We start from the raw sequence: 23914 nt of genomic DNA, 5'->3' as shown, positions 1-23914 counted from the left end.
ACCAGGCTGGCCAACATGGCGAAACCCCATCTCTACTAAAAATACAAAAATTAGCCAGCCATGGTGGCATGCACCTGTAATCCCAGCTACTCGGGAGGCTGAGGCAGGAGAATTGCTTGAACCTGAGAGGTGGAGGTTACGGTGAGCTAAGATCATGCCACTGCACTCCAGCCTGGGTGACAGAGGAAGACTCCATCTCAAAACAAAATAAATAATAAAATAAAATAATGCACATGGAGGCAAGGCAATAAAGAACCAACTTATGTATAAAAAGGCAGAACAAGAAATGTGGCAGAATAAATAGGAGAATTGGAAGAGAAACGCTATTCAAAATTATAATTGGAAAATGAAGGTAAAACATTTTTTTTCCAAAGTATATATTTTCCCCCAGATGAGACAATACACAGATCCCTAAAAAGAATCTAATGATAAGAACAGAACTGTAATGACAGAAAAGGCATTGGAGTTTCCTAAAGGCTGTGATTTCTCTTCTTTGTTCTTTAGTCACCCTGATTAAAAAGACTCTCTGGGTAGGGAGTAAACACCAATACTTGGAAATATCTTGCTCAAACAGTTGAATTTTAAGTGTATACAAATCTCTCAGGCAGGCAAAAACATAAAATATGATTAAAATACAGGTTTGAAAAAACATTTACAAACTCAAGCTAGCCATTGTGTTTTACACAAATTACATGCCAGAAAACAATAAGGCATTATCTATAGAGTTTGGGAAAAAAGTGATATGTCCGTTAAATTCTATACCAAGCAGATGATGTTTATGTCTGAAAACCACAGAAAGATATCAGAGGTAGAAGGAGCCTAGAAGGAAGTTAAGCAATAATGTTTCATTTCTGAAAAAAATATTTACAGATATAATAAAGTCAATTGAGGTACTAAGTGAACGATGCATTTTGAAACTCATGAGCTTGGAAACCTAAATGTAAAAGAATCAGTAGTGAGCATAGTACCATTTGTGTTAGTTCATTTGTATTAGTATAAAGGAATACCTGAGACTGAGGAATTTATAAAGAAAAGAGGTTTATTTGACTCATGGTTTTGCGGGTTGTACAAGCATGGTGCCAGAACCTGCTGGCTTCTGGTGAGACCTCGGGAAGCTTACAATCATGGCAGAAGGTGAAGTGGGGCTGGCACATCACATGGTGGGAGAGGGAGCAAGAGAGGGAAGGGGGAGGCGCCAGGCTGTTTTATCTTAAACAACCAGCTCTCCCATGACCTCATAACTGTGAGGAAGTCATCAAGTCACTCTTGAGGAAGCTGCCCCCATGGCCCAAATACCTCCCACTAGGCCCCACTCTCAACATTGGGGATTACATTTCAACATGAGATTTGAAGGGGACAAATATACATACCACATTAACATTTAAACAAATCTGTTAGCAACAATTGCTGATTTGATTGGTGGAATGCAAATATTATAAAGCCTAAAAGAAGAAAGATACAATAATGGAATCATAGTAAGTCAGGATAAAATTCCCAGAAGAAAAATTATATAGAGAGGTCTGGGAAACATGGGAAATCCAGTCATGATGTCAATAGTATTCATTTGGAAAAAGCTGGTTCTAGGCCCAGCGGGATCGTTTACAACTTCAAGGAACAATTATTTTCCAAATTATATAAACCGATGTATAGGATAAAAATAAAGCACGTTTTGCAATATTTTTATCGAGGTAGAGAAATTCTGATAACAAATCTTGCCAAGAATTGAACAGAGAAGAGGAAACCATTGATTGATATCACTTTTGAACATAAACACAAAATTCCTAAGTAAAGCATTACTACAATGAATTCAGTAGTATTTAATCATTTTAATCCACCCTGCAAAATTAAAGTTTATCTCAGAAATGTAAAGATGTCTTCAAATCTATTAGTATCATTTATTTTATCTATAGAAAAAAAGAAACAGTATCTCATTGAAGTTAATGAATCATTATGTAAAATTTAACCTCCATTCTTGATTATAACTTATAGCAAAAGGGATATAGAATATCTCAAACCAAATAATAGCATCCTATTTTATAGTGAAGTAGTGAAAGTATTTCTTTAAATGCAGGAGAAAGCAAGCACACACACCTTGTTATTTAATTTTTTAATTTATTTAATTCATTGTAAATTTATTTTTTCAGAAAAAGCCAGCCAATACAATTAGATAAAAATGCAAAATATGGTATGTAAATATTAAGAAAAGAGAGATAAAATTATTATTTGTAGATGATGTGACTATGGACCTGTGAAATAAAAAGGAGGCAACTGAATAACTATGTGGAATAATAGTAAGAAACTTCAGCTGGTAAGAAAATAAATACAAAAAGTGATAACTTTCTCCCATAATTACAGTAATTCTTTAAAAAAATTAATTTCTTTAGAGATGAGGTCTTGCTTTGTTACCCAGGCTGGAAGGCAGTGGTGTGATCACAGCTCACTGCAGTTTCGAAATTTTGGGCTCAAGCAATCCTCCCTCCTCTGCCTCCCAAGTAGCTGGGACTATAGGTGTACACCACTATGCCCTGTTAATATCATTACAATAATTCTTAAAAAATGGTATAAAACCCTATAGTCAGGAGTATGTTTGGAAAGTAAAGTACCAGACTGAAAATAAGATATGAAAACTCTAATGAATAATATAATAAAAAGACCAGCATGAATAAAAAGATTGCAGTGTCCTGGATGGGAAGACTCAGTAATGGCAAAAACATTAACTTTTTTCAAGTAAAAAAACAAATTTCATAAAATTTTAGTAAAACTGTCAATCAGAATTTGGAATCTAACATTATTCTAAGTCATCCAATTGTAAGACTAAATACTCCAGAATGCAGAGGAAATCTTGAAAATATAAATGAGGAAAAATTTGTTTTAACAGATATCAAAATATACCACAGGGATGAAAACTGCATGACAATTGTACAAAAATATTCGGATTATTGGAACCAAATATGAGAAGAAAATATAGGTGTGTGATGGGTAACACTGAGTGTCAACTCGATTGGATTGAAAGATACAAAGTATTGATCCTGGATGTGTCTGTGAGGGTGTTGCCAAAGGAGATTAACATTTGAGTCAGTGGGCTGGGAAAGGCAGACTGACCCTTAACCTGGGTGGGCACCATCTAATCATCTGCCAATGCAGCTAGAATAAAAGCAGGCAGAAAAATGTGAAAAGAGAGACTGGCCTAGCCTCCCAGCCTACATCTTTCTCCCGTGCAGGATGCTTCTTGCTCTTGAACATTGGACTCCAAGTTCTTCAGTTTTGGAATTGGACTGGCTCTCCTTGCTTCTCAGCCTGCAGATGGCCTACTGTGGGACCTTGTGATCATGAGAGTTGGTACTTAATAAACTCTCCTTTATGTATGTATGTGTGTATGTATACATATTCCATTAATTCTATCTCTCTAGAGAACCCTGACTAATACAGATTTTGGTACCAGGAGTGGTTCTAGAGGAACAGAATATTAAAGATGGAGTTCTTTTGTTGGTTTTGGGGTTTCTGGAGTTGACTACTTAATATAATTAGACCCCTAAATGCTAAGGACTCTTACTTCTAACAGTATGGAGAACACTGAGAGTCCTTGGCATGAACTGTTCAGAGACTTATGCAAAATAAATGCATTTGACACTCCTGATTCATCACTCATGAGAGGCAAGGAGTTTAGTGACTCTATACATAATACCTTTGACCATATGTGGAGAACCAAGGAACATAATGAAGCTGGTTGGTTGTTCCTAAGTTCAGTGGACAAAGTGATGACAGAAAATGATGAACTCAGGAATTCTATCTTCCGGCTTCAGAAGCAGATACTAAGCCTCAAATCTGCTAAGATTGCCCTGAGTGAGAGTTTTATCTCCTATAGAGAAAGAACTGAAATTGTGGAAAAACAGACAGAAGCTCTTATCATGTGAGTGGCTAACCTGCAACAAAAGGTTCATGCACAGCCTTGCCAGGTGTCTACTGTTAAAGTGAGGGCATTGATTGGAAAAGAATGAGACCCCGCAACTTGCAATGCAGATGTGTGGGAGGACCCTGATGAAGCTAGGGACACTGAGTTTGTAAACTCTGATGAACTCTTTTTGCCAGAAGGAGCAGCTTCCCCAACTCCAGTACTGGCAACGTCCCCTCCCCGAACCATGCTGCCATCAGCCTTTACAACTTTGTCTGAGGAGATAAACCCTGTGCTGCCTGAGGCAACAATGATGGCCTCCCTGAGACAGTTGTCAGGCAAGATAATGTTGATTCTCCTCAGGAGCCACCCACAACACCCGTGTTTGCTTCTAGACCTATAACTAGGCTAAAGTCCTGGTGGGCCCCTAGAGGTGAGATTGAGAGTATGATCCATGAGGAGGTGTGCTACACTTGAAAAGAACTGCTTGAGTTTTCTAATTTATATGAACAGAAATCTGGAGAACAGTCATGGGAATAGATGTTACAGATCTGGGATAATGGTGGAAGGAACATATAGTTGGATCAGGCTGAATTTATTGATTTGGGCCCACTAAGTAGGGACTCTGCATTTAATGTTGCAGTGTGGGGAGTTAAAAAAGGCTCTAATAGTTAATTTGCTTGGTTAGCTGAAATATGGATTAAATTATGGCCCACCGTGAGGGAGCTGGAAATGCCTGATCTCCCTTGGTTTAATGTAGAGGAAGGGATCCAAAGCCTTAGGGAAATTGGGATGGTGGAGTGGTTTAGTAACTTTAGATCTACTCATCCCAATGCCTTGCAAAATAGATTTGCAAGGGCAGAACCTGCATCTTTGAAGAGCCCTGTAATTGCTCTTCTCTGTATGTTAGATCTAACAGTAGGAACCACAGTCACTCAACTATACAATTTAAATACAATGGGAATAATTGGATCTTGAGGTGGCAGGGGCCAAGTGGTGGCACTCAACCATTAAAGGCAAGATGGGCATAGCTACCATAATGGATAGCAGAGGCAAAGCAGCAATCAGAATAATCATAATAGTCTGACTCATGTAGAACTCTGGCATTGGCTAATTAATCACGGTGTTCTTAGAATTAAAATCAATAAGAAGTCTACTGCAATCCTACTTAATTTATACAAGCAGAAAACTTCTAGGTTGAATGGACAAAAGACTAATTCAAATTATAATGACACAGAATCACAGCCCCTCAATCAATTTCCAGACTTGAGCTAGAATCCCTTGAATGAAGGGGAGGCCAGGTCCCCTTGAGGAAGAACCCCACTACATTACCCACAATTCATGCATTTAATTTTTCTCCCATCCTTCCCCAAGGAGACCTCTGGCCTTTTACCAGGGTATCTGTGCACTGGGGAAAGGGAAATGATCAGACATTTCTTGGACTACTGGATACTAACTCTGAGTTGTCATTGATTCCGGGGAACCCAAAACATCATTGTGGTCCTCCAGTTAAAGTAGGAGCTTATGGAGGTGAGGTAATTAATGGAGTTTAAGCTCAGATCTGACTTACAGTGGGTCCAGTGTGTCCCTGGACTCATCCTGTGGTCATTTCCTCAATGCCAGAATGCATAATTGGCATAGACATACTTAGCAGCTGGCAGAACCCCCACATCGGCTCCCTGACTGGTAGGTAGAGGGCTATTATGGTGAGAAAGGCCAAAAGGAAGCCATTAGAGCTGCCTCTACCTAGAAAAATAGTAAATCAAAAACAGTATTGCATCCCTGGAGGGATTACAGCGATTAGTGCCACCATCAAGGTCTTGAAAGATGCAGGGGTGGTGATTCCCACCATATCCCCATTCAAATCTCCCATTTGGCCTGTGTAGAAGATAGATGGATCTTGGAGAATGACAGTGGATTATTGTAAGGTTAACCAAGTGGTGACTCCAATTGCAGCTGCTGTACCAGATGTGGTTTCATTGCTTCAGCAAATTAACGCATCTCCTGGTACCTGCTATGCAGCCATTGACTTGGCAAATGCCTTTTTCTCCATTCCTGTCCATAAGGCCCACCAGAAGGGATTTGCCATCGGCTGGTAAGGCCAGCAATATACCTTTACTGTCCTACCTCAGGGGTATATCACCTCTCTGGCTTTGTGTCATAATCTTATTCGGAGAGGACTTGATAGCTTTTCGCTTCCACAAAATATCACACTGGTTTATTACATTGATGACATTATGCTGATTGGATCCAGTGAGCAAGAAGTAGCAGACACACTGGACTTATTGGTGAGACATTTGCATGCCAGAGGATAGGAAATAAATCCAACTAAAATTCAGGGACCTTCTACCTCAGGAAAATTTCTAGGCATCCAGTGGTGTGGGGCCTGTTGAGATATTACTTCTAAGGCGAAGAATCAGTTGCTGCATTTGGCCCCTCCTACGACCAAGAAAGAGGCACAACGCCTGGTGGGCCTATTTGGATTTTGGAGGCAGCACATTCCTCATCTGGGTGTGTGTTGCTCCAGCCCATTTATCAAGTGACCTGAAAGACTGCCAGTTTTGAGTGGGGTCCAGATCAGGAGAAGGCTCTGCAACAGGTCCAGACTGCTGTGCAAGCTGCTCTGCCACGTGGGCCATATGACCCAGCAGATCCAATGGTGCTTGAGGTGTCAGTGGCAGATAGGGATGCTGTTTGGAGCCTTTGGCAGGCTCCCATAGGTGAGTCACAGCATGGGCCTCTAGGATTTTGGAGAAAGGCCCTGCCATCTTCTGCAGATAACTACTCTCCTTTTGAGAGACAGCTCTTGGCCTGTTACTGGGCTTTAGTGAAAACTGAACATTTGACTATGGATCATCAAGTCATCATGCGACCTGAACTGTTTATCATGAACTGGGTGCTTTCTGATCCATCTAGCCATAAAGTGGGTCATGCACAGCAGCATTCCATCACCAAATGGAGGTGGTATGCATGTGATCAGGCTCCAGCAGGTCCTGAAGGCACAAGTAAGCTACATGAGGAAATGGCTCAGATGCCCATGGTCTCCACTCCTGCCACCCTGCCTTCTCTCCCCCAGCCTGCACTGATGTCCTCAACGGTAGTTCTGTATGATCAGTTGACAGAGGAAGAGAAGGCTAGGGCCTGGTTCAGAGATGGTTCTGTACGATATGCAGGCAACACCCGAAAGTGGACAGCTGCAACACTACTGCCCCTTTCTAGGACATCCCTGAAGGGCAGTGGGGAAGGGAAATCTTTCCAGTGGGCAGAACTTCTCGCAGTGCACCTGGTTGTGCACTTTGCATGAAAGGAGAAATGGTGCCAGATGAGCGATTATGTATTGATTCATGGGCTGTAGCCAGTGGTTTGGCTGGGTGGTCAGGGACTTGGAAGAAGCATGACTGGAAAGTTGGTGACAAAGAAATCTGGGGAAGAGGTATGTGGATGGGCCTCTCTGAGAGGTCAAAAACTGTGAAGATATTTGTATCCCATGTGAGTGCTCACCAATGGGTGACTTCAGCAGGGGAGGATTTTAATAATCAAGTGGATAGGATGACCCATTCTGTGGACACCACTCAGCCTCTTTTCCCAGCCACCCCTGTCATCCCCCAGTGGGCCCATGAACAAAGTGACCATGGTAGCAGGGATGGAAGTTACGTATGGGCTCAGCAACATGGACTTGCGCTCATTAAGGCTGACCTGGTTACAACCACTGCTGAGTGTTCAGTTTGCCAGACCAACACTGATCCCTCGGTATGGCACCATTTCTCGGGGTGATCAGCCAGCTACCTGGTGGCAGGTTGATTATATTGGACCTCCTCCATCATGGAAAGGGCAGACACTTGTCCTCACTGGAATAGATACTTACTCCAGGTACGGGTTTGCGTATCCTGCATGCAATGCTTCTGCCAAGACTACCATCTGTGGACTCATGGAATGCCTTATCCATGGTCATGGTATTCCACACAGCATTGTCTCTGACCAAGGCATTCACTTTATGGCTAAAGAAGTGCAGCAGTGGGCTCATGCTCATGGAATTCAGTGGTCTTACCATGTTCTCCATCATCCTGAAGCAGCTGGATTGATAGAACAGTGGAATATCCTTTTGAAGTCACAATTTCAATGTCAACTAGGTGACAATACTTTGCAGGGCTGGGGCAAAGTTCTCCAGAATGCCATGTATGCTCTGAATCAGTGTCCAATATATGGTACTGTTTCTCCCATAGCCAGGATTCACAGGTCCAGGAATCAAGGGGTGGACGTGGAAGTGGCACCACTCACCATCACCCCTAGTGATCCACTAGCAAAATTTTGCTTTCTGTTCCCACAACATTACGATCTGCTGGCCTAGATGTCTTAGTTCCAGAGGGAGGAATATTGCTACCAGGAGACACAACAACGATTCCATTAAACTGGAAGATAAGATTGCCACCTGGATGTTTTGGGTTCCTCCTACCTTTAAGTCAACAGGCTAAGAAGGGAGTTACAGTAATGGTTGGGGTGATCAACCCAACTATCAAGATGAAACCAGTCTACTACTCCACAACAGACGTAAGGAAGAGTATGCATGGAATACAGGAGATCCATTAGGGCGTCTCTTAGTATTACCATGCCCTGTGATTAAGGTCAATGGGGAACTACAACAGCTCAATCCAGCAGGACTATGAATGACCCAGACCCCTCAGGAATGAAGGTTTGGGTCACTCCACCAGGAAAAAAACATGACATGCTGAGGTGCTTGCTGAAGTCAAAGGGAATACAGAATGGGTAGAAGAAGGTAGTCATCAATAACAGCTACGACCACATGACCAGGTGCAGAAATGAGGACTGTAATTGTCAGGAGTATTTCTTCCTTCTTTTGTTAAAAACGTTTGTGCATATATACACTTGGACTAAGAAACTATTTTATTTACTTTCTTCTTTATCATATGATACAAAATTTATTGAGTTCACATCAGCATTTAAGTATTGTTAACTTTATGTAGTAATATTTGGGTTGGGGATTGGTACGTTTCTGGTTGTACAAAGCATAGCTGTATTATGTTATGTTATGACCTTATTATTGTCTTTATTTGAAGATTATGTATGATCTCAGGAGATGTATATGGGTTCAAGTTGACAAGGGGTGGGCTTGTGATGGTTAATACTGGGTGTCAACTTGATTGGATTGAAGGATACAAAGTATTGATCCTGGATGTGTCTGTGAGAGTGTTGCCAAAGGAGATTAACATTTGAGTCAGTGGGCTGGGAAAGGCAGACCCACCCGTAATCTGGGTGGGCACCACCTAATCAACTGCCAGTGCAGCTAGAATAAAAGCAGGCAGAAAAGCGTGAAAAGAGAGACTAGCCTAGCCTCCCAGGCTACATCTTTCTCCCGTGCTGGATGCTTCCTGCCCTTGAACATCAGACTCCACGTTCTTCAGTTTTGAAACTCAGACTGGTTCTCCTTGCTCCTCAGCCTGCAGCCTGCAGACAGCCTATTGTGGGACCTTATAATCGTGTGAGTTGATACTTAATAAACTCCCATATATATATATATATATATATATATATATATATATATATATACACACACACACACACACACACACACATATATATACACACACACACATATATATATATAAAATATATGTTTATTATTATTACTTTTTGAGATGGAGTCTTGCTCTGTCGCCCAGGCTGGAATGCAGTGGTGCAATCTTGGCTCACTGCAAGCTCCGCCTCCTGGGTTCATGCCATTCTCCTGCCTCAGCCTCCCGAGTAGCTGGGACTACAGGTGCCCACTACCATGCCCGGCTAATTTCTTTGTTATTTTTAGTAGAGACGGGGTTTCACTCTGGTGTTAGCCAGGATGTTCTCGATCTCATTACCTCGTGATCCACCCATCTCGGCCTCCCAAAGTGCTGGGATTATATATGTATTCCATTAGTTCTGTCCCTCTAGAGAACCCTGACTAATACAAGGTGAATATATAATGTTGAAGTGGATGGGAGAGCCTACATTGAATTACACTAGAGACAGAAAGTGTAAAGGAAAGTCTAATACATTCTACCATACTATAATATACAAAAATTAAGCAACTCCCACCCCTAGTTTCTATATTACAATAACAACTAACAAAGCAAAATTAATTCAAAAATAGAAGGCAAATAACAAACTTGGAGAACATTCTTGTAATTAAATGACAAAAGTTAACATTCATTCTTAAATATAAAGCAGCTTTTCTACATCAATAAGAAAAAAAATGAATATCCTAACAGACAAATAAAGTCATGAAGAAGGTCACTAGAGAAAAATACATGCAAAAAACTTCAAACATCAGAAATCAGTTAATTACAACTTAAAGCATGATATAATTTATCACAAATTTAAAATAATGAGAATAATCAGCATTTTTCATATTTGTGAAAGTGGGTGTTCTCTCCTAAATGGATCTGAAGGGTATTATTTGGTACAACATTTTAGAGGGGCCACTAGATGTGTGTAGACATATAGTAAATACTCAAAAACTATTTTTTCCTTTTCATCCACTAATTTTACCTATAAGGCTTTTTTTTCCCTAAGGACAACATTGAATAATGTAGTTTCTTTGTAAATTCTAAGGATCTTTATTTCTATGTCTGTTCTATTCTTTAGCTTTTCATATATATTTTTTTTTAGTCATAGCATCATTACAATTCTAAATGATATTTTTCCTTCATCATTGTTTCAGGACTGCAAATTCTCATCCATAAAGCTCAAAAGCCATGGTTTATAATTTCTTTTCTTTTCTTTTTTTTTTTTTTTTTTTGAGACAGAGTCTCGCTCTGTCACCCAGGCTGGAGTGCAGTGGCACGATCTCAGCTCACTGCAAGCTCCCCATCCCAGGTTCACGCCATTCTCCTGCCTCAGCCTCCCAAGTAGCTGGGACTACAGGCTCCCGCCACCACTCCCAGCTAATTTTTTGTATTTTTAGTAGAGACGGGGTTTCACTGTGTTAGCCAGGATGGTCTCAATCTCCTGACCTCGTGATCCACCTGCCTCGGCCTCCCAAAGTGCTGGGATTACAGGCGTGAGCCACCACGCCCGGCCTATAATTTCTAAATATATTCAGTGACATTGATTGAATGACAAATAAAACAAATCAAAAGACAATATTAAAAATGTACCAGGAAGGCTCTAAAGTTCTGTTCTAAAAAATAAAATCTACTGAAAAATACACCAGCATGTGACCTGGGTTTTAAGTTGAATTAAAAACAAAGCAAAACTTTAAACAATAAACGATTAGTTGCAACTTCATTTGACAGTAGGACTGGAGTAGGTTTTTGGATTAGAAACGTTAAGTGCTGAGATCGTGACTTATCGGTTACAGGTTGATGCCAAGAGGGCACATTCCAGGGAAGGGCCTTAGCAGAGGAGAGGTAGGCAAAAATCAAAAGTGATGCCTCTGACTTGAAGCACCAGGAGTTGCAAGATTTTGTGTGACACCTGTAATCGGGTTTCTCAGGATAGAACTGCAGAGATCGATGTTGTGGCCTGTTGAAAGCAACAGTGCTATGATATGCGGGAGTGTTATGTCCCTGATAGTGTAATATTAATGTATTGCCAGTAAACAGCCATTATCAAGACTCATAAAAGGAATAATTAATGATATTGTTAGCTTTTTAAAAAATTAGAAAATAAATGGCCACTGTGGTTTTGAAATGCTAATTAATTACCATGGGATCATTTCCAGTTAGTCAAGTTTATTCCCCGCAAAGCTAGTTTTGCAAATACAGTGCAGAACCTCAGTCAATATTGCTCACATGTAGATCTATTCAACTTATATGAAAAGAAAAAGGAAGACTCTTAATTGAAGAGACTCCCTTCAGGACCTACTCAGGCGGGGCTCTTGCTGATCATCACAGCGCAAGGTGCACGTAAATCCCTGGGGATCTGATTTCTCAGCAGATTTTTGAGGAACACATTCCACATTGAGAAACAGTTGACAAGATGATTTATTAATATAAGCTGGGGACAGGAGGGAAACAAAAAATAAAAATAAAATAGCAGCTTGAAAAGAGAAATTAGCCTTTGGAATCTATTATGATATTTAGAAATCAGGACATCATTTTCCTTTCCTCGGTGGTCCCAATGCAATTTTCCTTCCCTGTCTGGTCAATTTGGGAAAGACTGACGTGAGGAGGCTTTCTGTCATGGGATTTGAAGTTGCACGCCTTTAAAACTTTCCCAGCCCTGCACAACTTCTAGATCCTTGCCAGTTGGCGTAAATTCTTCTATGTTCACAATGTGCACATATGTATTTTAAAAAGAAAATAATCCCTGGCATAAGGAGGTGGTCTCTCTTTTCCTCTCTTCCCAGCGGTTTCTCTCAAACCCCTACCCTCAGCCAGCCCTGTTCACCTCTCCCCACAGAGGCAAACAAAGGAAATAGTACTGCTCCTCCTGGAACCAGAGATTGCCAGCAAGTGGGCGGGCTGGTGCTGCCACAGCAGTAGACACATCTGTCACTCAAGAAATGTCACCCTGCCTTGACCAATCCATTGTATAGCTGGAATGGGGAAAGCGCTTATTTGGAAAGGTGCAGAGATGAACAGCCGTTGAACTCAGTGACATCTGGGCCAGTCTAGGAAGGGGGTGCAGGCCTGTCCAGCACATCTGCTTTCAAGAGAATGTTCATTTGTGGTAGGAAATCTTCTATTATAAATAGGCTCTTGCACACAAACACAAACACACACCTCCCCCTCCCCGCCGCCCCCCCCCCACCCCCACCACCAAACCACCCTACTCAATCCCCTCTCTCACCTGATTTTGGACTATTTCCCTCCAAATTCATATATGTTAAGAATCATAGCGTTTGTGTGAACCTATCTGCTAGTGCCAGTGCCTCACTATTCACCATTGAAGGAAGTTGAAATAAACAGCCTTGTCCCCAGCCCCCTCTGGCTCAGTAAAACCAATTACCAACTGAGAACAAAAGTGCCCAGTGAAAAACAAATAAACAAACACAAAACCTCAAACCGTGGAGCAGTCACATTTTAGGGGAGGTGACAGAAGCTTTTATTTGCGAAGGCCCAGAGCTGAAGAGATTTTTGAAATTAGCAAAGGCTCACCACTGCCTGGGAACACAGAGGATACCAGGAGCCCCTGGGACACCCGGCCACTTCCCTCACTTCATGGCGAAAGGAAAAAGCCGCTTTAATTGCCGAAGTTTATTTTTTCACAGCAGTCTTTGGAGGAAGACCCTTGGCAATCCGCACTTTGAAGATTTATACATGGCACTTACCAACTCTACTTTTATATATTTGAAATAAAAATAGCTCAGCAGCAATTTGCTTTTTTTTTACCCTTGTTTTAAAACTCATTCCTCTCCTACCTTTGAAGTGTAGAGAACTCTCTCAGTCACCAGCCTTTTTGGATGGTAGAATGTTAATCATAAGAATTTATTTTCTGTGCTAACAAACGTTTTCCTTGGAGATTTTTTTTTTTATCATTTTAGATGGAACTTTTAAAAAAGATATAAATTAAATCAGATTGTTGAGAAATTTCGCTGGGGAACAACGCCTTCATTTATAAGATTCTCCGGATCTCTGAAATGCTCAAAGAGGTTATACTTTCTCCAGAGAGAAGAAAATACTCACCACTAAGACATTAAGTCAAAGAGCACTTTATTCTAAGGAGATTTTATTCCAATGATATGAAAGACCAATAAGGATAATAGTAACAAAGTAAAAAATTGAAAAAACAAAATATCCTATATACCTTCAGGAAGGTCTTCTTTCTGCCCAAACTTCCTGCAAGTGCTTGCTAAGGATTGTGAAGCATTTCTCTAGAGCTCTGATCAGCAGATTTGATATATGGATTTAGATCAATTTTTTCTTACGGCAAATCTATATGTTATTCTCCGTCTTCATTTGGTGCTATTTGCTGAGTGGCTGTTACTTGGGGGCAAAGGTCACCTCGCTCTCCGGCAGTTGAAGCAGCCGAATAATCTTTTACTCCTCATAAGAGGAGTGTGAGATATTAAATCACACTTGACGTACCTGAGGCACAGCAACTTCATCCATATTTTATCTGCTGTAAATTTAATACCACAGCACTTTTTAGGGTGATGTATTTATTAACTGGCTGGGGATGAGCAGTACAGAAATTCAGTTTGTTCAGGAAAATATAATGAAGACAGTCTGACAAGTTTATGAAGTAAGCACAATAGCTATTTATTACTTTTTAAACACACAGTTTGCTGAAATGTCTTTAGCAGTGTTTGTTCAATAAATGCTTTCTAAATCATCTCAGCTTATTTTTTTCTTTGAATTTTAATAAAGCCTTTTTCTCTTAAAGCAATCTGCTTTCCTCCCACTGACGGTGGCTGTTTCCGACGGCTTACCTGGCACTCTTAGGTAAAGAAGCGGAGCTTTGTTCTGTGTGAACCACCCTGTGGCATTGTGGGAAATGGAATCACGTTTAGGCTTGCTGCAGTCAGCCTCCTGCCCCCGAATCAGTTGATAAACTATTTCAGAGAGACAGGGCTGTCTTCGCCAGAGGACTGTTTCTCTCAATTACCCTGCTCAACTTTTCTTTCTTTCTCTCGTTTTTTCTCTCCTTATCTCTCTCTCTCTTTCTATTTTAACATCTCCTGTGTTTCACAGCGTTTGTACTCTGAAATCTTTATTTTTAGCTGCAGATAAATTACAGGTTGCTTGTGTGATCCATGTGCCACCTCTCTTGCTCTTTGGTGACATGAGGATACGTCAGCTATTTATTAAAAAAGGGAGAATGCGGTCCGCACCATTTACTTGTATGGTCATTACGTCTCATACAACTTTCTTTTCCCTTCCTTTCTTGAAAGATACAACCTTGAGAAACTCACGGCATTTTTGCGATTATAATAGTTGCCTTTTGTACTTATTTGCTGATCATTTTCATTTGTGATCTTTGGCCTTCAGTCAATTTGATCACCAGTTTGTAGCTGGTGTCTCTAAAGAAATCAGGGAGGCTCTACACCTTAATTTGATATTAACTTTAAGGTCCTAACTCCACAGAATGGGACCAGAGCATTGATTCTCAAAGTGTGTTCCAGAACACAGCAGGCAGCACCTGGTAATTGTTGAATATGCAAAGTCTCTGGCCCCACCCCAGACCCACTGAATCAGAACCCTGGAGATGGGCTCAACAGTCTGAGGTTTCACAGTCCCTCCAGGTGTTTCTGATGCCTGTTCAAGTTTGAGAATCAATGGACTAAAGTCTTGATGAACCACAAACAGGTGATCTATTTGCAGTATTAGCGACTTTTGTCGGCCCCTCCCTGACTTACCCCAGGCTTCCAGGAAGATCCTCAGGGAAAGGAGCACACAAATTTGCCAGCTTTAGGAGCACTGCTCTGATAAAGTGGACTCAGTGCTGCATACAAATAAAGTGTTGGATGAGCCAGTGCTGGTAGAACCCTCTCTCGGCATGGCTCATCCAAAGACGACTGTAACTTGCTTTAGGAAGAAAGAAGAGCAATGGAACTAACATTTTTTTGAGGGAAAGGAAACTGATATCAATGGGACTCTTTAAAAAGGAGCTCTCACAACTTTTAAATTCTGTGGTGATATGCTTACTTGTATGCCTCTGGTCTTCATAAAACATATACTCCTCTAAATAAGATCTGAGTATTTTCAGGAAACAACATTTCAGTTCAACTAGGTGTGCACTGGTTCCTTTTCTTTGGCATATTTAAAAATAATATATAAATAGGGAATGCTTCAAACCTATCTCTTTATCATCCTTTTTAATATATTAGCTCTTCCTAGGCTATTACTGTTCTATACCTGCCTGTTAATATATCTCCTTCCTGAGCACACCATTCCAAGACACATCTTAATTTATTCCTTTATTTATTCTTTTCTCCACAGCATTGGAAGATCAAATCTTCCATGTCGCACTATTGCTTCTGACAATGTATCAAACCGCATCACTTTTTCAGCTTTGGATCTTACCCTCTGCAGAAGTTCCTTATGTAATAGATTTCATGTTAAGAAAACAGGGTTTCCTGCAGTTCTGAACATTCACAGAAACTCGATTCACCACCAGAATCTTAGGAGGCATTTTGGCGTCTGATGCAATTTAGAACTTAAATGGAGACACAATCTGATGCCTGACCTGAATTGTTTAACTATAAAATATGTTCCTATTAGGAAAGTCACATACAACAAAAGGAAACATACTGTGAGAGAAGACTGGGGAAAAATTAAATGACTTCCCAAAGCCTAAACCTCTGAAATATGTTAGTCCCTTTTACTTTAGGGTAACAACAAAACATTTTTTTAAACATTCTGAAAGCTTTAAAATGTACACATATTATAACATCTTTATACTCCTGAATTTCAGCAGCTGAGGGAAAAAGAAAATTCTAATTATTAGGTGTATATATGCATGTGTATGTTGTTGAGAAAAATGTAATATGTATATAAATATATAATATAGATGCTATATATGTAATACATAGATGCTGTATATACATAGTAGTGTTGTTTTTCAAACAGCTGACTGTGACTGGATTGTGGCTCTTGAAATCTCTACTTGGTTGGTCATGATCTGCATTAAAAACTTCAATAGATAAACTAAATAGACCAAAATAGAATACAAGAGAAAATAGCAGAGTACATTACTGTATATAGTAAGGCTAAGTATTATTTTTGGGAAACTTGTTTTAGTAAAAGTATGTATATTGGGTAATGATATAAATACACTGATATAAAGAGTTGAATACTTATAGTTAGTGACTTTATTATTAGTGTGATTTGCCTGGTATTCTCTTACCTTTAACAACAATAATCAAACAATAACAACTCCTAAATACATAAAAAATCTATATCCAAATATTGTAAATAAAATAAATGATATGGCTATGCAGTGTTGAAGCATAGAGCTTAGAGCAGTCTTTAAATGTCTTGATCCATTCTCTCATGTATACATTAATGAAACAAATAAATTAATAAACTTCCCTGTGCTTTGATTTATTTTTTATTTTTTATTTTTTTTTGAGACGGAGTCTTGCTGTGTCGCCCAGGCTGGAGTGCAGTGGCGTGATCTCGGCTCACTGCAAGCTCCACCTCCCGGGTTCATACCATTCTCCTGCCTCAGCTTCCCGAGTAGCTGGGACTACAGGCATCCGCCACCACGCCTGGCTAATTTTTTTTTTTTTTGTATTTTTAGCAGATACAGGGTTTCACCGTGTTAGCCAGGATGGTCTCCATCTCCTGACCTCGTGATCTGCCCATCTCAGCCTCCTAAAATGCTGGGATTACAGGCGTGAGCCACCATGCCCAGCCTCCTTGATTTTTTTATCTGCAAAATGCCACTTATACTAGAACCTATCTATGAAATTATAGTGAGGATTAAATGACTTAATATATGTAAAGCACTTAGTATAAGTACTAAATACAATTTTGTTATTAATATTACTAGTATCTGTACTTATGCATGCCTACTCTGTGTAAGACCAGTGCTGGGTTCATGGGGAATCCAACATGGGTTATGCATATTGTTTGGTTTCTGCCTCAAAGGAGACTATAGCTCAAACTCCTATATATTGTCTTTAGACATAAGTCAAAATGAAGGGGTTGCCATCTATGTTTGCTTATTTAAGAGATATTTATTTATTTTTCTGTGTTTTGGGAAAAGTAAAGCAAAAGGGAAAGTCAAAAGACTCAACCTGAGGCTCTAGCAGAGTGGAGGAGCATCAGGAACATGAGACCCTTTCCAACCAGAGAGACCTTTATCAAATCTCTGCACCTGGCAGAACGGTCCTCATCTGCAATGACTTCCAAGGTTCTGTCTGCTATGACTGAATTGCATCCTCCCAAAACTCATATGTTGAAGTCCTAACCCCCATTGTGACTGTATTTGGAGACAGGGCTTTTAGGAGGTAATTCAGGTTAAATGGGATCAGAAGGGCAGGGCCCTAATCCTATAGGACTAGTGTACCTATAAGAAGAGAGGTACCAGGGATGGGCACTCACAGAGCAAAGGCCATGTGAGGACACAGCACAAAGTGGGCCATCTGTGGAAAAGGAGAGGAGCCTCACCAGAAATGACCATTCTGGAACCCTCATCTTGTCCTTCCAGCCCTCAGAACTGTTGAGAAAATAAGTTTTCATTATTTAAGCCACGTGGCCCATGGTATTTTGTTATGGCAACTCAAGCTAACGAAGACACCTTCCAACTCTGAAATTTTAAAGGGGGTCACCAGGGTGTAGAGACCTAACCCTTTCTATCCTGTCCCTTTCCCTGACTGTCTTAGCTCCATGACTCAAGGGTCTTCTCTCTGTGATGAGACCCTCCTCCCAGTGCAGATGGACACACTCTTGAATGGTCATCACATTCATCTCCCACCCTAACACCTTCCTCCAATTAACTGTTAAGGTCAAGGCTTTTGGGAAATATAAAACTGCTTTTCCCCCATAAAAGAACTGGCTGAGGAAAATTTCAGTGTACTACACATTCACAGTTCTCAGGTCAAGAAGATGTCTGTACTGGGTTGAATAGTGTTACAGTGTCCCTCAAAGTTCATGTTCACTGGGAACCTGTGAATATGACCTTATTGGGAAATAGGGTCTTGTAGATATAATCAAGCTAAGAAGAGGTGTATTTGGAGACAAGGATTTTAGGAGGTAATTCAAGTTAAATGGGATCATAAGGGCGGGGCCCTACTTCCTGTAGGGCCCATGGTGTGCCCTATTCCAATATGACTGGTGTTCTAAGAAGAAGGAAATTTGGACACAGACACACAGGAGAGAAGGCCACGTGAAGATGGAGACATAGATTGAAGTGCTGCATCTACAAGCCAGCCACTGGGGATTGCTGGCAACTACCAGAAGCTAGAAGCATCCAGGAAGTATTCTTTCCTAGAGACCTCAGAGAGAGCATGGTCCCACCTGCATTTTAATTTCAGCCTTCCAGCTTCCAGAACCATGCAGAATACATTTCTGTTGTTTTAGACCACTCAGCTTGTGGCAATTCTTTATGGCAGCCCCAGGAAACAAATATAATGTTCAAGAGTTAAATAAACCACAAATGCAAGTTATTTATATTTGGAATCAATATATAAAATTTCGCATAAATCAATTGCCCCCCATATTGCAAAAATTCCCAAACAACACCATGTAACCAATGACTGTGGCTTGGAAGGATACTAATAAAATGACAAATATGCATGGTTATTCATTTTATAAATATCTATTGGGTACCCATGGTGTGCTAAGCAATATCCTGGGCCCTGAAATTGTGTATAGCAGGGACATAGGCCAGGCAAGGTTGCTTACGCCTGTAATGCCAGTACTTTGGGAGGCCGAGGCTGGTGGATCACCTGAGGTCAGGAGTTCGAGACCAGCCTGGCCAATACGGTAAAACCCTGTCTCTACTAAAAATCCAAAAACTAGCTGGGTGTGGTGGTGGGTGCCTGTAGTCCTAGCTACTTAGGAGGCTGAGGCAGGAAAACCACTTGAACCCGGGAGGCAGAGGTTGCAGTGAGCCGAGATTGTGCCATTGTACTCCAGCCGGGGCGACAGAGTAAGACTCCATCTCAAAAAAAAAACACACACACACACACAAAAAAAAACAGGGACACATTAGGCCTAGCTACATCTGGGGAGGTTGTTTCTACCTTTCATTTCCTGAGTCATTGAAGAGCTAGATTCTTCTCAGTCTGTACTGTAACTATGGGGGGAGTCAAGCATGCATTTGTAATTAAGCATTGCAACTGAAGCATTGACTGAAGTGGGAGGAGATGTGGCTAAAACCATGAAAGAAGAGTTGTTTTGTTTTTGCTTTATATATCAGGTGCCCTCATCCAAATGTTAGGTAATTCCCCAGTACTTTTTTCATTTCTCACTTCTGATCCTAAGGAGTCAGAAGTTCAGGTCCTGTTTACACATCACTGAGGGTCTAATGCCCATCATGCTGTGGGTCAGAAGCTGGGGGTTGAGGGCTCCTGAGGATGTGTTTCCTGTCCAGAGAGTATAGAGAGAGTATCCTAGGTCCAGGGGATGAGATGGATATGTACATTGACAAAAAAAAAAAAAAAAAAAAAAAGACTAGAAAATGTGGGAAAAACACAAAGGAACCCAAAGTTATATAAAACTGTGGGGAAAAGAGCTACAGATAATATCTGCACAAGACATTTGAGCTGGGTATTGAGCACAAGGGGAAATGCATCTGGGAAGAAGACAGGTGGTGGGGGGTGGGGAATGGAGCTTAGTCACATGAACTGAGGTCATTTCTTGGACTTTATTCCTTACATGATGAAGAAGATTAGAACTAAAGGCCAAATGCAAATGTATTATTGTCTTTAACAAAGACGAATCTTGCCCACATGGAAGAGTTGACAGAGAAAAGTGATGTTGGAAGTAGGAAGTGGTCAAAGGAAACCGTTTCCCTCATTAAAGTTCCCGAGTTTCAGGTCTGGCGCTTCATGGAAGAACATTGAGGTTAAGGCAAAAGTTTAATTTCTTAGAGTTTTATTTTCTCTTGAAATCACACTCATCAGAAGCAATTGCTTGATTTTTGAAAATGCGTGTAGAACAGCTGAGATGATAATAAAGCGACTGCCTGTGCAGGCCAGGCCTTGTGTGGGTGCTTTATACGATGTTCTCATCTAGTCGGTATCCTGGCCCCGTGAGGTGGGTGTGACGGGAATCCTCACTGGACCAAAGCAGACATCGAGAGTTCAGAGCTGGTGGTTGAGCTTTTGGTACTAAGGTTGCAAACAGGAACCTGAGGGCTCTGGGACCACACCAGCCTTCTTTGATATCTATTCCTTGGGCTACCTGCATTATAATCCCTTTGTGTTCTGTGTTCTTTGAACCTTTGGGCACCCACCTTATACTCACTGAATCAAATTCTGTCCAGTGAAGCCTGGGGGTCTGCATTTCTACAAGCTATCCAAGGTGACTTTTTTTTTAGGTTTGCAGAAGTTTGAGAATCACCAAACTATACTTTGTACAGGGAGTGGCCTGGATAGGACCTCAGGACAAAGCCACCTTTTTGAGTTTCCTGAAGGGTGGGTCCTTGACCTGCATCATGAAATACCAAGTGTCTGACATACAGTAGTTATTTTCATTTTTATCCAGGTGGATTTGAGTAGGGGAATGGGAAGGTGAGAGGGAAATGGGACCAAAAGCAGTCCGTAAAGGGGAAAAATCTATAAGATGAGAAAGGCAAATGAAGCAAAGAAATGACATGAATGAGCCATTGAAGCGGCAGGAGAGGAAATGTTACAGGGCCTCTATCAAAGACCTGGGGAAAAAGATCAAATATTTCAACTTCGTTGGCTTTCCTTTGTTCCTATATGATCGCCCACCATTCTTCCACTTTCTGGCTCCTTTACTTAATCGAAGATTGTGAGGGTGCAGGGAATTCATATGACAAAATAAAAGTGAAAGGAGCAACCATCATTCATGAACAATTTGTGCTTTTTCCCTTTGCAGAAAATGACAATGATAAAAATAACCTCCTTCCGCCACCCACCCAAATAGTGAATGCAAAATACAGCATCCACTGGCAACATTTTAATTCCGTTAAAATCCAACTCGAATTAGTGAATCAGAATCTCTTGCTCAGGTTGAAAAACCTCCTCAGGTGATTTTGATGTCCGTCCCTACTTAATAATCCCTGGGCTAGGTCATCCCAAGGGCCCTTTTTAACTCTGACAATCGATTTTTACCAAGTATTCGTAGGATAAATGTCACAGGTGTGTGGGGAGGGATTTCATCCTGCTTAGATCTCAAATTGAAGGCTCCGAGAGTTTCTTAATATGTAGGCCACTGTTTTCCTCCCACGCTGTCTGCGACGCTGTTTGTTTTAAGCGTGGCCTAATTTCATGTGAAGAGCGGGTCTATGGCACACAGTAATTCTCACGAGGAACGTCGTGCATTTATAATAGGACAGGGTGGACACATCGATTTCAGCTCTGGGAATGAGGAGACTGATGCTGAATTCCCCAGACAACTTGCTCTCTGGTGAAATGGAGAATTACTGAATCAGTTAAACACAGGCTCCAAAGGAAAAAAAGTCAAAAAAGAAAGTGCCCAGGGAGGCACGAGTCATTTAGCTTTTGATCAGTGGGATGAACTGATATGCTTTAGGCCAGGGACCTGTCTGTCAGCCCCGCATGGGCTGAAAGGACCACACAGGCAAGCGAGTGGAAGAAAAGCAGAGAGGGAAAGTGGGTGGTGGGAAGGCAGGGCTCCTACCAGGCGTGGCTGGAGCTGCTCAGAGTGGACTCCCAGGGGCTTTGCTGTCCCAGTGCCCTGGGGGTATGTGCTGGGACCAGCAGGAGCCAAGAAGTGTGAGGATGGCAGTGAGGAGGCTGATTTTGTCAGGCATCACAGCAGCAGCTCCTTCCCAACTATTTCCCCCGAGACCCTGCAAGAGACATTTTTACACTGGTTTATGTGTAGAAAAAGGAAGCAGTTTTGGCAAGGATGACTTCTGCCAAAATGGTCTCTTGAGGTTTTTTTTGCCAGCACAAGCTTGGGAAGGACACGTGTGTGTGTGCGTGTGTGCACGCGTGCACGTGTGTGTGTGCACGCATGTGTGTGTATGTGCACACACATGTACTTGCTTGTATGTAAATGTAAAATTGCATGTATCAGGTGCCCACTGTGTGTCCATTCCTCATGCAGACTGACCCCTCAGTCCACCTCACCACAACTCTGAGAGATCCCATCTCAAAGATGAGCCCATTGAGGCCATGAGGCTTGCAGAGTGGGGATGGAATTGGAGTACAGCTTGGTGTTTAAAGCCCATGCACTTTCTACTTATCCATTCCAATGCTCCAGGGTGAGGCCAATCTTGTCATTTAAGAGGCACCTGTTTTATGCTGAGGGTGTTGAGGTCCATCAGAAATAGCACAAAACTTGGCCTTCAGCCTCTGAAAGAATTTTCATCTCACTCCCTTTTCTTGTCTCAGTGTCCCAGGTGTTTTGTTTTTTAACTCACCCACTAGCTAGCTGCCTTGTCAGTTGGGTGCTGTTTCCTGATTCTTATCTGACTGGGAAAGGGTAACAGGCCTGTGACCCTGCTGTTGTGCCATGACACTCTGTCACAGCTGCCCTCCAGCAACACAGATAATTCTCATCGTTCTCCAACTTTGGTGCATGTTATGGTCTCCTGGGGATCTCCAAGGAAAGCTCCCTGGGGGACAGCAATGTGCAGCCAACATTGAGAACCTGTGCACAACATCCCAAACCTGTGCTTTCAAAACAACATTTGTTGAGCATCTACTCTGTGCTACGCACTTGGGAGGTAAAGATGAATAACTTTACTACTGTCTACACCAAGAGAGGGGAAAAGCTACCAAATGCAAATTGCAATGTTTCTCACCTACTTGCTTCACAGGAACACTTTGAATGAAAGCATTTTAATCTTGTTAAATGTGCATCCAGGTCTTGTTCATCCATGATGATGAGGAATAGGGGCGCCATAAATGAGTGATCCCCAGATAATTTAGGCATTTTATTGCACCATTACTTTTGACCTCCTCCCTTATCATAGCTTCGACAAAAGCTGGTGACATGCAGCAAAATGGGCTCCTTTGAGCCTCATCTCTATTTTTCTTGCTCATCCTTTTGTGGAGATGCCAAGGAGGAAAGACTAGATTGCCCAAAAGGTGGGCAGCTGCTAAGGGCTCGCAGAGATTGATGGAGCTGCCATCTGTCAATCAAGATATCTTCTAAGTTCTATTTACTTCCAAGGAAATAATCACAATGATAAACAAAGGGCTGCTCATGTGAGGGTTTACATTATATTATCACATAGCTCAATTAGACTACATTTTACTGTTGATAAAGTCGAGTCACTGAGCTCAAAGAAGAACACTCAAGATTGATGGGAACTGACCATATTGTGAAGCTCAGGCTATCTGCATAACCCCTGTATATGATGAGATCATGGACGGACACTCTGCTTCTGGTTTCAGTAATACTCTGACCGGGCTTCTCCATGCACTGGGCTTTTCACCTCTACCAATCTGTCTCCTTGCTTCTGCGTTTGTACAAC

At 41.4% G+C, this 23914-nt stretch overlaps 2 long non-coding RNA genes across 3 annotated transcripts in view, besides 1 other annotated feature; one reads left to right on the top strand and one right to left on the bottom strand.

The window, feature by feature from the left end:
• LOC105373525 (uncharacterized) overlaps nt 1–13862 on the bottom strand; it is a 38670-nt gene extending 24808 nt beyond the window's left edge. The window contains exons 1-2 of one of the 2 annotated variants that reach the window (NR_188368.1): nt 13634–13862; nt 11750–11881 (exon numbers count right to left, since the gene is read on the bottom strand). This is a non-coding gene — a long non-coding RNA (uncharacterized LOC105373525). Of the gene's footprint in view, nt 1–11599; nt 11882–13633 lie in introns of those variants that run through there. The other variant, NR_188367.1, reaches the window with a different exon arrangement.
• Nucleotides 13863–14980: 1118 nt separating this feature from the next.
• LOC105373524 (uncharacterized) lies at nt 14981–16468 on the top strand. The gene is made up of 2 exons (NR_188369.1): nt 14981–15135; nt 15769–16468. It is a non-coding gene; the product is annotated as an uncharacterized LOC105373524 (long non-coding RNA).
• Nucleotides 22281–22781: an enhancer, noted in NCBI's record as "H3K4me1 hESC enhancer chr2:105190634-105191134 (GRCh37/hg19 assembly coordinates)". NCBI's record gives its function as "activates a minimal SCP1, AML or CMV promoter by ChIP-STARR-seq in naive H9 embryonic stem cells {active_cell/tissue: H9 hESC(naive)}" and the evidence as "EXISTENCE:reporter gene assay evidence [ECO:0000049][PMID:30033119]".

This window comes from Homo sapiens, chromosome 2 (genome assembly GCF_000001405.40).
Source record: "Homo sapiens chromosome 2, GRCh38.p14 Primary Assembly".
NCBI classification, from domain to species: Eukaryota; Metazoa; Chordata; class Mammalia; order Primates; family Hominidae; genus Homo; species Homo sapiens.
Note: the sequence above shows the minus strand (reverse complement) of the source record. Positions and strands in the feature narration are given on the sequence as shown.